The following is a 15,166-nucleotide window of genomic DNA, read 5'->3' as shown; positions in this document are numbered from 1 at the left end:
GAAGGTATGACACTTTTGTGTCCTCCAAAAGTCACCAATAAATAGAAGAACCAATGAATAAGTAAAGAGTATACTAATATGCTAAAATATCCATTAAGATGACACCTTATTCATTTCCTCAGTGTCCCCCACCAAAATTACAATTGCCTACCAAGTTTTCTGCTTTGCTCTCTCCCTATCCTAAGAAAGACATCTTTGCATTCTTCCTACCAATAACCTCTCATTTTCTTCATCTTTCAGCCTAAGATTCAGTCTATGCAGTCTTCCTATCTGATTCAATCTACACTACTCTCTTTTTATTTATCTGATTATTTATTCTATGAATATTTTCACTAATCAAGTATTTCATAACCTTTAGAGTAGAATTTTCTGTCTCTTATTTAACCTTAGAGCACCCAGGACAGGTGCTCAATGTGGAGTAGATTGCCATGTTCCTTTCCTTTTCAAAACCCACCTACGGCCAAGGAAATCATTTCTGCACACCTGAATCACTTTAACAGACTCTCCGAAGGTGGCTGCCTTTAGCCTCTGGGCAAATTATTGTTTCATGATATCACTTCCTGCTCAAAATGTACCTTGATATTCTAGAATTTCTAATGAGGTAGGAACTCTAGAAGTCTAATGCCAAATTTAAAATATTTTTCTTTATCCTTTCCTCCTGCACCATCACCCCTTAAAAAGTATATATCATTTAATCCACTAATCTTACTGTTTGAAATTTACCCTTCAAGAAAACCTTAAAAACGTAAAAAAACTATTGCACTAATTGAGTCATTTCAGTGTTAGTTACAAAAATTGGAAGCTATTCAAGTGCCTTATAGTATAATGTTTAAATAAATTATAACAAATCAACTGAGAGACTACAGAGCAGGAATACAAAATGAAAGTCAAGAAGGCCATGTAGAAAGATGAAAAATATTTCCAGTTATAATCACAATGAAATTATATCTATACTATGATTACATGTATATTACATAAAAATATAGAAAAACAAGTGATATATCATGGTAGTTAGATGTATTTTTTGTTTATATTGCTTTTGTAAGAAATTGGGGTCAGTACACATCAAATACATCTACATCTCCCATATCTTCATCTCTGGAGCTACACAACGTATGCAATGAACTTTATGATTTAGAATCATGATGCAGAGTTTCTAGAAGGTCTTAAATCATCTTAAGTTTCATTACGTTGACCTAAAAGTGAATGTAAACCCTTCACTGAGAATTTCAACAAAGGTTTTAGTAAAACAGAGTTACTGGATACCCATCAGTTAAGCTCAATTAATCAAAATACCCTATGGCTCATTCCAGGTTATACCTTGTATTGTGTACAAGGATACCTAAGAGCAGATGGGTTTTGTTGTCACTTTCTTTGTTATAAGGTTTGTATACAATTACAGACCACATTACTCGGGCCCTCAGAACTGAATGGGAATTAGGCGGCTGAAGTCCAGGCCATTCCTTTGAGAAGGAATGTCTTCCAGCCATTTTTCTTTCTTGTTATATTGAATTTTCATATGGATCTAACTGTGGATAAATACAAGCCCGAATAGCTTCATGACTGATTTATTCTCATTTCAGAATTCTGGCCTTAAAAAAATCCAGAACCTAATCAGTTAATATTAATGCATTCACAGATTTTGCATGTCTACCAAATAATAGTAAAACCTGTAGCGGGACAATTTAAACCCAGGCTCCTTGGGCTCATTTATCATCTTTTTCTGTAACCCCACAACAGTTCTTTGGAACTGAAGAAGATAAATGGATCCCTGAGAAACAAATATTTACAAACATTTTGGAAATGATTTTTAAGTAGAAAATGAAATATTCCATTATCTATGCTGATCATATGGGAATTCACAACAGAGAGTCGAGTACGGTGTGTGCTGTTCAACCTCATAATCATTTGCAAATAAAATCAAACAATTCCAGATTTCAAACTCATAAATGAAATTTCAATCCTAGTTGTCTTTTTCTCTAATTACAAAAGGGAATGTTGACTTTCTATTTTTAAATGAATTATCTAATATGTCAATCATCTAATAAGACTTTTATTGGTTTACTGCTATACCTGCCCCCTGTCCCTCCCTTGAAAGAAGTGGACAGGAGGTAAAATGCAAAAACATCAATGGTAAATTCGAATTCCTGAGTTTCCTGTAGTCACAGCACACTTTAGCTATTAATATACTTTTCTTCTTTACATTTCTTATAAGTGAGACACATTTCTTATAAGTAAGACAATAAACTATTGGGAAAACAGCAATATAATCAATAGGCTTTCACTTTGATTTTACAGCAAAACCCATAGAGAAACAAACACATTGGCATTTGGATCCCAGCTAGCCATTACGAAAACCTGATGTGTGTCACATGATGAGACACTACAGAGATAACACAGAGCCCCTCTACTTAATTTCTAGAAAAGCAATTCAAATTTTAGAATGGTAGATTGTAAGTCTCTGCTTCTTATACAAATGACTTTAAAGAAAATCATACCTGCAAATGCAAAGCATGGAATAGTCAGCATTACATAAATATAACCAACACTACTTTCTGTTATTTGTCACCATTTCCTTGGTCCTTACTACATGATTCTTCATCTATCCACATAGACTATGATGCAACCTGTGAGAGGCTCAAAGAACCAACAAAATGGTCAAGCAAAGAAATAACTGTTAGAACTTGCTTCTATCAGTCGATTTTGTCCCAACATTTAAAACATTACACTCACACACACACAAATGTATTCTCAATGTCCTCAAGCTGGATAGGAAAAGTTGGTCAATCACACTGGATTAAGGTGATTTCTTGGAATAGCCTGTGATTTCAACACAACCTTTAAAGCCTTGAGTATGTCGGGGGTGGGGAGCGGTGGTTATCATTTTTGTTTTCTTTGTTATTATTTTTAATATGGTAAACATGTCCAACGGCTATAATATGTTTCTCTAATCCAAAAATGAATGATAAAGACAAGCAACTAATTTGAAATTTAAACACTTGAATAAGCTGGAGGGGGCATAAAACAGAAGCTGTAAGAAAACATAATGGAATGGAAATTGCTCAAACCAACTGTGCGGTAGGGCCAAGCACTCTGACATATGCCATGTCTGTAAATGAAGTAAAGGTATGTCACATGCCACCTTGGGGTTGTGTGTGTCACTGCTGGCTTGGCATGTCATTCACTCTTTTCTGTACCTGCTTCATACTACTAGATGTTAAAACCTTTAGTAGTCCTATTTGAAACATAACCTCTTGGTGTCAGGAGGAACAGAGTACACTGAACTGGGGCTTTGTCTGAGTTTTCACACATTTCATACTGAATATGCATTTATTTTTCACATTAAGGTTTATGGATATATCTTATTAACTCCATAGAGTAAAAGTAAAGCAACTTTGTAAGACTATACCAACCCTAAGCTAAATCTCACAAGCTATGAAAAAAATAAGGTTTTTATTGACATCAATGACTGGAAGTTTTATGTTTCATATAGGCTTTTAATTTGCAATCAGTAAATTGAATTTTTAATGTTAAAAGAATAATCACGCTTAGATTGAATACTTTCTGAAAAGTATATAAAAAGTGCCTTCAATACGTTTTTCTATCTGACACCTAAGGGTTTTGGGGGGCGGGGTGGGGGGTGTTACATCATTCAAAATTGTTTAAAGTTCCAATAATATACTTTCTCAAATAAGAGAACTAAAGGCCAAACTTTAATCTGCATGGATCCTTCTTTAAATCTATCTGTGCTGTTCTCCTGACACTTCATTCTGCATTGTACCTATGGCTACATCTGGTTTCCTTAGACTGTAAGACAGCCATGTGAGAATTGGACCCATGATTCAAAACTGACTAGCATTTACTGAGTGCTAATGTGCCAGAGCTATTTGTAGCCATCTCCACCTACGTGATCTCATCTTATTCATCGTTGGATCCTGTCATTTTGCAGCAGAAGCCCTTTCACTGACAAAATGGAGCTATGAAAAAAAACCCCTTAACCCATTCCAAATATTGGCTGTCAATTGCAGTGTGGCCCAAAACAATGTCTCCAAAATGGAACTAATTATCCCTGTCCTACATAAAAGGATAATGCAGGTAAATAATGTAAGAAAATTAAGTTAAATGCTTATAAAGTGCCTAACAGAGTCCTTAGCACATAGGAAGGCTCTCAATGAAAGTTTTCCTTCCTTTTCCAGAAGTAATATGTATTGCACACATATATCTGTCATAACTGCATCTCACTGTTTCCCAGGAAATCTTCTGAATGAAGGAAATAAATGTTTATTCTCCTCCTATTAAGTTTAATTACATATGTAATGCTTAAAACAAGTATGCCAAAACTAAATCTCTTATTTTATTATTTATTTATTTTTTTTTTTTTTTGAGATGGAGTTTCGCTCTTATTGCCCAGGCTGGAGTGCAATGGCGTGATCTCGGCTCACTGCAACCTCCGCCTCCCGGGTTCAAGCGATTCTCCTGCCTCAGCCTCCTCAGTAGCTGGGATTACAGTCATGCACCACCACGCCCGGCTAATTTTGTATTTTTAGTAGGAAGAGGTTTCTCCATGTTGGTTAGGCTGCTCTCGAACTCCTGAACTCAGCTGATCCACCTGCCACAGCCTCCCAAAGTGCTGGAATTACAGGTGTGAGCAACTGTGCCGGCCCAAGAACTAAATCTATCCATTTATCTACTTCAATGTCTATGCCATAACACCTGTATGTTTTTCTTTCCTTATTTTTAAGTTCAAGAAAAATCATTCAAATACTTGTCAATTTCAGATACATTGTATTTGCATGGCAAACATTTATTGAAAAAAACATTCAAATCAGAGGAAAATAATATTTAGAAACATTGTATGTAAGTATAATAATGAAATTGATTTTTAAATATAAGTGGGAAAATATAATGGTACATTCTAGGAAAAAAATGGAATCACAAAATCCTATTTGAGAGTTAGAAACAGGTCTATGTGCTTAAATATACAATTCATTCTGGGATTATAACAATCTTATTACAGAACATTTGTATTCCCAATTTCTCTACTACATCAATCTTAACAATAGAGACACATAAAGAGAACTAGATTTGATCTGAACAGCTGTGTCTGAACAAGCTGAACAGTATGTCTTCCTCTTCAACTAGTCTTTTCCATAACATTTATGAAAAGATCACCTGCTAGCTAGCCAAGTACCTGAAAGAGCTTCCATACGTTTAAGGAAGCATGAACTTCCCTTGATGGTAGAAATGATGCTGCTGTGCAAGGGAAATCACAATCATGGCACACCTCTTGATTGTGTTAGCTTAGAAACACAGGACTTAAAAAAAAAAAAAAAAAAAAAAAAGAACATCACGAATAAGCTAGATATGTCAGCGCAGAATCATGCTCCACATCTCTGCCTTCCAAAAGATGGAAACAAGAACAAAATTGAACTTTGGCAAAAAGATGCACAAGACTAAGAAGTTTGTCAAAGATGCTGAAAAAGCTCCAGATTGTCTGAAAGTATAGTATTCGGTAACCTATTATTACTGATTTATGATAGGGGAAAAATTCTTCTGTTAAGATCCTCAAAATTTGTCAGCTGGCTTCACCGGATTTGATACCAAAATGAGCTTACTTATGATGTCAAGGCAGTTTTATCACTAAAATATAAAAGTGTATTGACATCCTCATATATACATTACTTGTCTAATCAATAAGATGTACACAATTACACAGCCTTTTTACCTTTGCCATAGGAATAATATACACATTTATTAGATTATAATTCAAGAATATGATCTTCTTGGATTTGAGTGCTCAGTGTCACTGTTGGTCTTAACTTTCTTATTGTTGTTTAATTATTTCTTATTCAACATTAAAAATGTCCACGCATATAAAGTTGTAAAAATATTGTATTGTATATTAGTTTTAATGATTTCTTCAACTAAATCATTGAATTCATAATAAAACTCCTCAGCTTCCTCCATTACATTGTCCATAACTTGATATAAAGGACAATGGCTTATTCATCTTTCTCTTTGAGGTATTTAGAATCATAGCATATATATAAATGTTATATATACATATATGTATACACACACACATATATATGTGTATATATAGATATAAATGAAGGGGGCACACAGAAATAGACCCAGGTATTGTGGGATCTGAAGCTTATACAACTAGGGACCCTCTATAACAGGAGAATACAAAATTACAAACACATACTGTGTATAAAAATAAATATCGATGTAGAGAAATCTCAGTAAATTACAAATGTTAAAAATCAGACTATTATATTCCCAAGAACCTAATAATGCCTGTGGTCATTCTGAATTGTGGCAGAAGGAATGTCAAAGTGGGAAGAATTAGCAGTCCTAAAAAATTGCAGCTAAAATATTTTAATTTTGCATATTTTGTAAAAATATAAGACCAGCTGAACGTACTGCTTGAGCCCCTCCCAAGGCTTTGAGAGTTCTGACAGCTTGTTTAGCTTCCAGAAGATTTGGTTGTTGCTTATACAATAATGATAATAAGGATTTGATAGGTGATATGGTTTGGCTGTGTCCCCACCCAAATCTCATTTTGAACTGTAGCTCTGACAATTCCCATGAGTTGTGGGCCAGACACAGTGAGAGGTAATTGGATCATGGGGGCGGGTCTTTCCTGTACTGTTCTCGTGATAGTGAATACGTCTCATGAGATCTGATAGATGTATAAAGAGGAGTTCCCTTGCACAAGTCCTCTTCTTGCCCACTGCATGTAAGAAATCCCTTTACTCTTCCTTCATCTTCTGCCATGATTGTGAGGCCTCTCCAGCCATGTGGAACTGTGAGTCCATTAAACCTCCTTTTCTTTATAAATTACCCAGTCTCAGGTATGTCAATGTGAAAATGGACTAATACAATAGGTACCAACTAAATCCTTCTAAAATTGAACTGAATGAAAGAAACTTAAAACATTCTGGGGCCCATCTAGAATATTAAATCACTCAGAAACCTACTCCTGTTTTACCCCAACTTTCTAATTGCCATTACTTCCTATATTCCAAGGATCTACTAAATAATAAATGTAGCAAGTGGTTAACCAGGCAAACCTTCGCTTCCATGCTTCCAGTGACAAGGTAGTCTTCTATCCTCAAAGAAGGCTGGGCCATTTTGAACAGCTCTAGCTATTTTACTGATGCTGAGCTCAAAAGTGCTTTCAGTGAGTAGAATGTAGACCCAGAGCACCCTCTGGAATTATTTCCTTCTGACCTACAAGGAAGAAAGCTAATTCCTTTTCTATAGGAGTTCTCCAGATATCCGAATATAGCTCTCATTAAAAAACCCAGAATTTTCTTCTCCTATTAAACATTCCCAATTCCTTCAGCTACTGCCTGACTGTTATCCTGGGGGTTCACCTCCAGACATACTTGAGTTTTAAGGAGGATATGACATTGAACACAATACCCAAGATGTGACTGGCCAGTACAAAGTACAGCAGGACTCCTGTCAATTGTTGAACATTGCAGAATGGTTCTGGAATGCAACTTCCACTGAAGACTCAGTTAACTAAAACACCTATGAAGTTTTCATTTTAGCAGCAAATAAAGTTCATTTTCCCATCCTGTACTTAATAAAGTTGATTTTTTAAACCAAAATCTATATTGTTATTAAATGTTCACCAACAGTTTTAGGGTATCATTCCAGCCTACACAGAGCTTTGCAACCTGATCTTGTTAATTCATGTTTCCCACTGAACCATAGTAAAAGCCATTTAAATAAAAATAACTCAATGTTTTCAGGCATGTAGTATGTCCCCTCTCAGCCTTAAGCACTTGAGTCTGCCTCCAGAAGATTGTTATACTTATTATTATTTTTTTTGGTTTTATGTGCCAGACCTAGGAGTTTAGTATGACAGGCATTGGACAGAGTTTACTAAGAAACCTAGAGATCTATTATGTCATATGTTGCTATTTTCATATCCAGAAAAACAAATAATAGTTTGTAAAAGTGAAATTAGATGTTTTTCTTTCAAACAGAATCAACAAAATTGTAATTGGTAAGGGAAAGCAAGTTTTATTTTTTCTTTTCTTTTTTTCTTATATTTTCTCTTTTGCTTTGTTTTAGGAGAATTTTGTTGTTTTCAATTTAAAGTAAATATAAGTTAAGAACTTGCATTCCCCTCTATGAGTTTCTTTGGTCTTTTCTCTGTGGCTGTCTTATATAGCTTATTTTCTTTTCTTTAGATAAATAGGCAAATCCAAGTGAAAATATTAATGTCCCATTAATGTTAGTGAGCATCCGAATGTCTCACACATTCCTCTTGAATCCGTCTGCTCTGAGTCTTTTTATTTCAAATTACCCAGTTTGTGCTCAGTTGTGCCCTTCCATCAAGAGAAGGATTCTTCAAGAGTTCTCCTAGAGCAACTGTGCTAACTAATTCTTAGGTAATTTCTATGAGAATATGACAATACCTGCTTTCACCTCTTAATCCTTGTGGGCTGAATCTGAATGAATGATTCAGCACAGCTCATCAACTTGACTTTCTCAAAGGAGATTTTGACATTATAACCAACATATGTGGCAGAAAGGTTAACTTATCACTTAAATATGAAACAGGTTTCTTTATAATCTCCATATTCATGAAAAGAGAGCAATAAGGCATTATTAAGTGTAGAGATGTCTTCAAAGAGTACTGTCAACTCATCTATTCCTATCTGAGAAGACACATATTAGAAATCTTCAGAAGTATCAAAATCCTTTATGCAACTGGAGTTTTGCTTTTATGCCCAACTCACGTTCTCCCTGAGCAGAGGTTTACATTCACTAATACTAGCAAATGCCCAGGCATTTAACTTAGCCATCTCCAGATGAACAACCTGTGAATAAATTATTCCACAAAAGCCCAATGAACTTTTAGCTTGGAGTACAAAACTATAACATTTCAGAATGTTCTAGATGCTTTGTGTTCACCACAGGTTCCCAAGAATCTCCACAGGGTTCTAAGGTCACATATATCCAAGGATATTAGCAGTGATACATGTTATCTAAAATGAAGTTAAAAGGGAAGTAACATGGCTTCAACCCTAAAAGTTTCACCAACTGCTACTACAACAGTAGTATTGAAAGTCAATAAAAATTGCCAGTACTTATCACTTAATCTAATCAGTCACAAATTTTCATTCAGGGAAATACATATATATATAAAATGAGGATATATCAACTGTGTTAATATTGCATATATCAACAATAATGTTATATTGTTAACATTACAGTAACATACATACTGTATTGCCACATGCATAATATATATTGCATTGTTACCTTACAGTAATAGTATATATTTTTAATGTTATTGTATTATAATAAAGTATTACATTGTTAATATTACATATATTGTATAATATCATAATGCAATATTTTGTGATAGAAATTCACTCCCATAATATGGACAGAATCATGTCATTGTCAGTGCAATTGCGTTGTTCTCCATTTGTTGAAAATGCAAATATCATATAAATAAATGACATGTCTGAAAAATCAAAGTGCATTGGACTGAGTTTCCTGAGAGCCAATATAATTATTTTGGACGGATTTGTGCATCTTTTAGAGAGTGGAAGCCCCACGAGGGTATGTTCTATACCTACCTTAGTAACTACATTATCCCAACTTAACTCCATTTCTGACACATCTGCTTTTTTCCTGGCTTTACACCATTCAAAAGGTAATATGGTTCAGCTGGGCCATTAGGGGATGGGGTAGATGAGAGTCTCTAGGGGACATTTGTCCCCTCACCCTTGACAGTGGTTCCTCTCCATTTTTCAAAGAAAGATATTAATTTATGTCTCCCATCAACAGCATTAAGTCTAGGAAATTTGTGTCTAACAGATCATTGTCAGGCAGTCCCAACAGTTACTCTTTGTCACGTTACCCTATTTTATTTTCTTCGTATACTTATGCCAATCTGAAATTGCATTGCACATTCACTGAGTTATTGTGTTTATTGCCTGTTGCCAACCTCTAGAATGTACGTTCTGTGAAAGCAGAGATCTTACCTTCCTAGTGCACCACTGACTTCTGTACATAGAACAGTGCCAGGTAGATTCAAAGAAAGATCAAAATATGTACTTGTTAATATAAATAAAACTATACAAAATAAATTTATTAATTAGAAGTCTCCATCATTAACAAGACACATCAATACTTTTTACAAAAAAAGAAAACTACATTAAATGGATTTATTGCTTTTAAAGTAAGCTATATTCTGATTTTCAGGGACATTAAAAGTAGGAATTCTACAATCAAGAAATGTATTTCAGATTTATCTTCTTAAAATTAGTCAAAAATGTATATGATTGCCAGAGTTTCTTACCAGCATGGAATAGCAAATGTAATCTGATTGTGTGATAAATCCCATGACTCCTAAATAAATAAGGCATTTTTGTTGTTATGGGTACGTTTCTGAGTGATGATTTTCCAATTTCCCCAAGGCTTTTAAGAACATTGAAATTGGCTACTGACCTCAAAGATTTTTAGAATAGGAAACACAAATGTAGTTATACTGGCCCATTTTACAGGTGAGAAAAAACTAAGAGCCAGAAGCTCAGTGAGTCTAGATAACATCGAGGTTATCTAAAAGGCTAGAGGTGTTTCTCATTGCAATGGCTCCTTCATTTTTCTCAACGACTCCTTCCATTTTCTTTCATGAAAAACACTTTGTACAGTGCATTCCACATAAGAGAAGCTCAATAAATGCCAGTTTCCTTTATTCCTAGATTTATATTTGCTGGAAATAAACGAAAATACAATATTTTCAAATCCTGTAACAACAGACCTTAAGTTAACCCTATGATTCCTTAAGATCTCCTTTATGGCATCAATTCTTATATTCTCGCACTAACGAAAACAAAGAAGTTCCAAAGGGCAATTTTGCTGCTTTAAAGCTCAAAGTAAGTTTTTGGACTAAAAGAATATTGTTTTTAAAAATTAAATTAAAGCAGAGCGAGAGAGAGAATATGAATGAGACACAACGTGAATGAGAGAGATGTCAACCATTCACCATTCAGTAGCTCAGCAGGTTTGTCAAACTCTAGATTTTGTTTTAGCCCACATTGCAGAGTTCAACTCTGATCTAACTACTAGCATGATTTTTGGGCGTCTGTTTGCAGATGCAGTCGAATTATCAATCCGAACAGACACACAATCCGGGTCCAATGTCACTTCTCCTCATTATGTTAATAGTTAATACATGCAAATGAAAACACTCTAGCAATTTGATTTCTTTGAAGATAGTTTGCATATTGTCTTAGCCATAATGACTGTACACTTCTCTCAGCCTCCATTTATGCAAGGGTAGTGTAGTTCATTTTTATCAGCTCCAGTTCATTTTGGCTGCTATTGGAATGTATGTGCATGTTTCTTTTTTACCTTTTGCCTAATTACCATTCAGGTACCATAAGCAGATTTTTCATGCTATTGGTGTTTTTCTTAATTAAGAAACAAATGAATTCTCCCTAGCAAAAAAAGATGGAACAACAGAATAAGATGCCAGGGGCTGATGTTCTGTTTCTTAATTGAAGCAGTTCTATTGTTCGGTGTCGGTAGTGAGGGGGCTGAAATGTCATAAGTGTAGAATGTTAATAGTACAAAAATAACATAAAACTACTTTTAAAAATAAAGAATACAAAACAATGCTGTAAGAGCTTTGAAAACATAGATTTTTATCCACATATTAATTCTGACAGTAACAAAGTAGCTTCATTTACAAATCCCTCACACTTAGAAAGCCTGAGGTTCTAACCCCAGTCCTGAGAGATATGCCTGCCCCACTCTGCTGGTCTAGTTAACAGTGTCCTACTTATTTACTCTTCATCAATTAAGGAAGCACCCAGGGGAACAATTTGTTTCTTTAATTTGTGAATAAACCATTGCTACTTTAATTTGCATTCTTCTTTTTTTCTACCCACAGTAAAATCTCAATGTCCTACCAGTATATTCAATATGCCTTACTACAACCTTAAGGTAAGACACATGCAAATTCATACAGACAACTCTTTCATTTCCCTTGGGATGATAAAACTTCAAGGAATTGAGGCTTTAAGAGAAAGCTGAGTTTTTACTCACATCTGTACTGATGGCACAAATCTGCTCTAGTGAATGGCACAAAAGGTTACATATTTTTCTCTTTACTAAAAGCTGTGGACAGATATTTGTTCACTAATGGCTTTATTCCTTTCTCAGATTATGAAATTCTTGCCTTATTTAACTGAGACTTTTAAAAATGAAAACCCATTACTATATTTTAAATAAGCTAGTAAAGACTTAACAAAAGTTATCTTATAGAGTAACATTTATTTTTCCTGACCAGAAAAGAGCATTATAAAACAAGATCTCTAGGTATCAATTTCTAAATGACTAAGTTTCTACTGATATTGTTCATACTTGCTGTCTTTCAGGTGCCTGACCTATGTATGAGATGCATCAAAGAGTCAAATAGAATAAAAAGAATTTAATATATATGTGAACAAAGCATATCATTATGTAGTTTTTCCCTATTTGGAAGGAAGAGGTCATAAGTAACTCATTTTATCATAAATATCTCTATGCATAGTGAAAAATAAAGGTGGACCTTTATTTATTAAAACCTAATGTTTTGTAATAACATCATGGGATATCATAAAAAACCTTTAGGTTGCTATACAAGCATAACTCATGAGTTTTTAAAAGTAAATAAATCATTTTAATTTGAGATTATTTTTAAAACTTTTTAACAAAGTACAGAAAATATTTCATGAGTCATCCTAATGAATGTAGAGAGTTTCTAATGGAAGAGATCTGTTAGAAACCAATTTGTAGCACACAAAATTACATATATACTTATAACTGAAGAACATTTACATGACCATTATCATTTTGAGAATCTACATTTATGTGAAGTTGTAATATAACTTTGGAAGAGCTTAACTCACTCACAAAATTTGCAGTCTTATAAAACTGTCAGGAAAATCCTCATCTGATTATTTTTCATTTCACTAAATTAAAAAAAAAACATGAACTATGACCAAAAAGAATTATGAACTATGACCAAAAAGAATTTTCATCTCTGTTCTCTCTATGCTCTAATACATTAGAAGACGATAGTTAAGGTCACTAATAAGGTCACACACATAATAATAAAATGTGACATGATATTCAGTTATTGACTTATTATTCATAATGTAAACTATGAAATAAGACCTAGGGACAATAGTTTTCTTTCTCTCACTTTCTTGAGTTTCTGTAATATTGGCAAGGGTGGGAAAGAGGAGAAAGGCAAAGAATTTTGAAACTTTGAGATTTACAACCAAATTCTATGTATATGAAAGTGTGAACTAGGATAAAGAAAATGTTTCTTTAAGAGGGTTTCTAGAGACTTGTGAAATTTTATTTCTTCAAATTCCTCAAGTGAAGAGACTAAAAATATCTATTATCAATTTTAACCCAGTAGCAAAATGTTTAGAAAACACATATTCCTTACCCCTGCAGCAGTGTGAAACTATTGTTGTCTTGCCCCACCCCCAGTCTCTGACTTGCTAACATGGTGTCCCTGCCAAATTCTTGGCATTGGAAGTGAGGGGGAAGAGGCCATACCATAACGTGTTGATAATGATGAGATAGAAATAGCAAACCAGCTGGATTGTCCTAATAAAGTATGTCTGGGATTTAGAGACACAACAACTATGTGTTCAGGTCATCCAAATGCATTTTCACCAACTGGTTTCTTCGATGATCTTTTGAGATACTCCAGTCAGGATCTTTCTAAAGGAATTTTATGTATTAACTCCAGAACCGTCTGGAAAAATACAACAACTAAACAACAAAAACTAACTACTCACTTTTTCTGGTAATGGTTAGTATAACCAAAGCACCCTGTGTTATTTAATACCAAAAAATGAGACGAAGTGATCTGTAACAGATTTCAGAGTTTGTAAAAACATTTACTGGTTTATAGATATCTATATCTATACATCTATATCTACATCTATAATGTGTGTGTCATATATATAGTGTGTATGTCTGCATGTATATGTCTGTGTGTGTGTGTGTGTGTGTGTGTGTGTGTGTGTGTGTGTGGAGTATATTACATTTTAATATCAATCTATCTTATAAAGCGTTTCCCAGTGAAGCTCAAAATATTTTCCTCATTGGGAATAAAGTATTTATTCCTTTTAAAATTACTTTAGGGTGATTTGAGCAAAATTATTCAATTAGAGTATTCAACAAGATCTTTTTATAAAACTTACGTCAACTACAAACAATATTTACCAAAAAATACTTCATTTAAATATTTGTCAATTAAAACATGCAAACCAAAGACCTTTAAAATTATATTTTAAATACCTGAGGATATTTACCACTACCAGAGAACAATTTCTTTTCATGGATTTGACCTCAAAAATACTAATAATCTAGAAAAGTTTATCAGTGCATACCTGGTGCTGTTCTAAACGATTTACATGTGTAAACTCGTTGAATCCTCTCAACAGCCCTTATATAAGCTCTCCTTAATAACCTCGTCTTTACAAATGGGGAAACTGAGTCACGGATTAAATAACATGCTAAAAGGACACGACACAAGGAAGTGGCAGAGCAGGAACGTGAACCCCAATGAAAGACTCCAGAGTTCTGAAACATTATAACAATACCCCTTCTCTAAAGAATGATTGTATAATTCAATCCCCTTCTAAAACGTAAATATATGACTTTGTGCCGTACATCCATTCAAATGCCATCGGATAGGCAGCCACTGCATTTTGCAATGTAAAGTTAACATGTAAGTTACCTACATCCTCATTTTCAAGTAGATAGCTTGCAACGCTATTTCTCAGGACAGTCAGACCTCTGGGCTAATACATTTCCACAGGGTGGTTAGGGAGGGGCAGCACCATTTGATCAGAATACGCTGCACGTAGCAGGCCAACCAATTCTGAAGATGGATCCTAGTAACATCAATAATCCTCATTACTCTTTATCCCAGAAATTTTGTGTAGCCTTCTCAGCAGAGGTAGTTCTAACTTGATCATCTTCAGTAATTTATTCTACTAGGCCTTGCTCTGGATCTATTTTTGGTGCTGACCACTAACTTTATCATCATGAAAACCACTTGTAGCTTTTCAACAGTTGATGGCTGGAACATCAGCTGGCCACATGGGAGCCAGGG

General features: G+C 34.4%; 1 protein-coding gene across 4 annotated transcripts in view; it reads right to left on the bottom strand.

Annotated features, from left to right (window-relative positions):
- ZFPM2 (zinc finger protein, FOG family member 2) overlaps window positions 1-15,166 on the bottom strand; it is a 486,102-nt gene that overhangs the window by 453,772 nt on the left and 17,164 nt on the right. The gene's annotated exons all lie outside the window — the stretch shown is intronic.

The sequence above is a fragment of the Homo sapiens genome, chromosome 8 (genome assembly GCF_000001405.40).
Source record: "Homo sapiens chromosome 8, GRCh38.p14 Primary Assembly".
In the NCBI taxonomy this organism is placed as follows: domain Eukaryota; kingdom Metazoa; phylum Chordata; class Mammalia; order Primates; family Hominidae; genus Homo; species Homo sapiens.
This window is presented reverse-complemented; position numbering and strand designations above follow the sequence as displayed.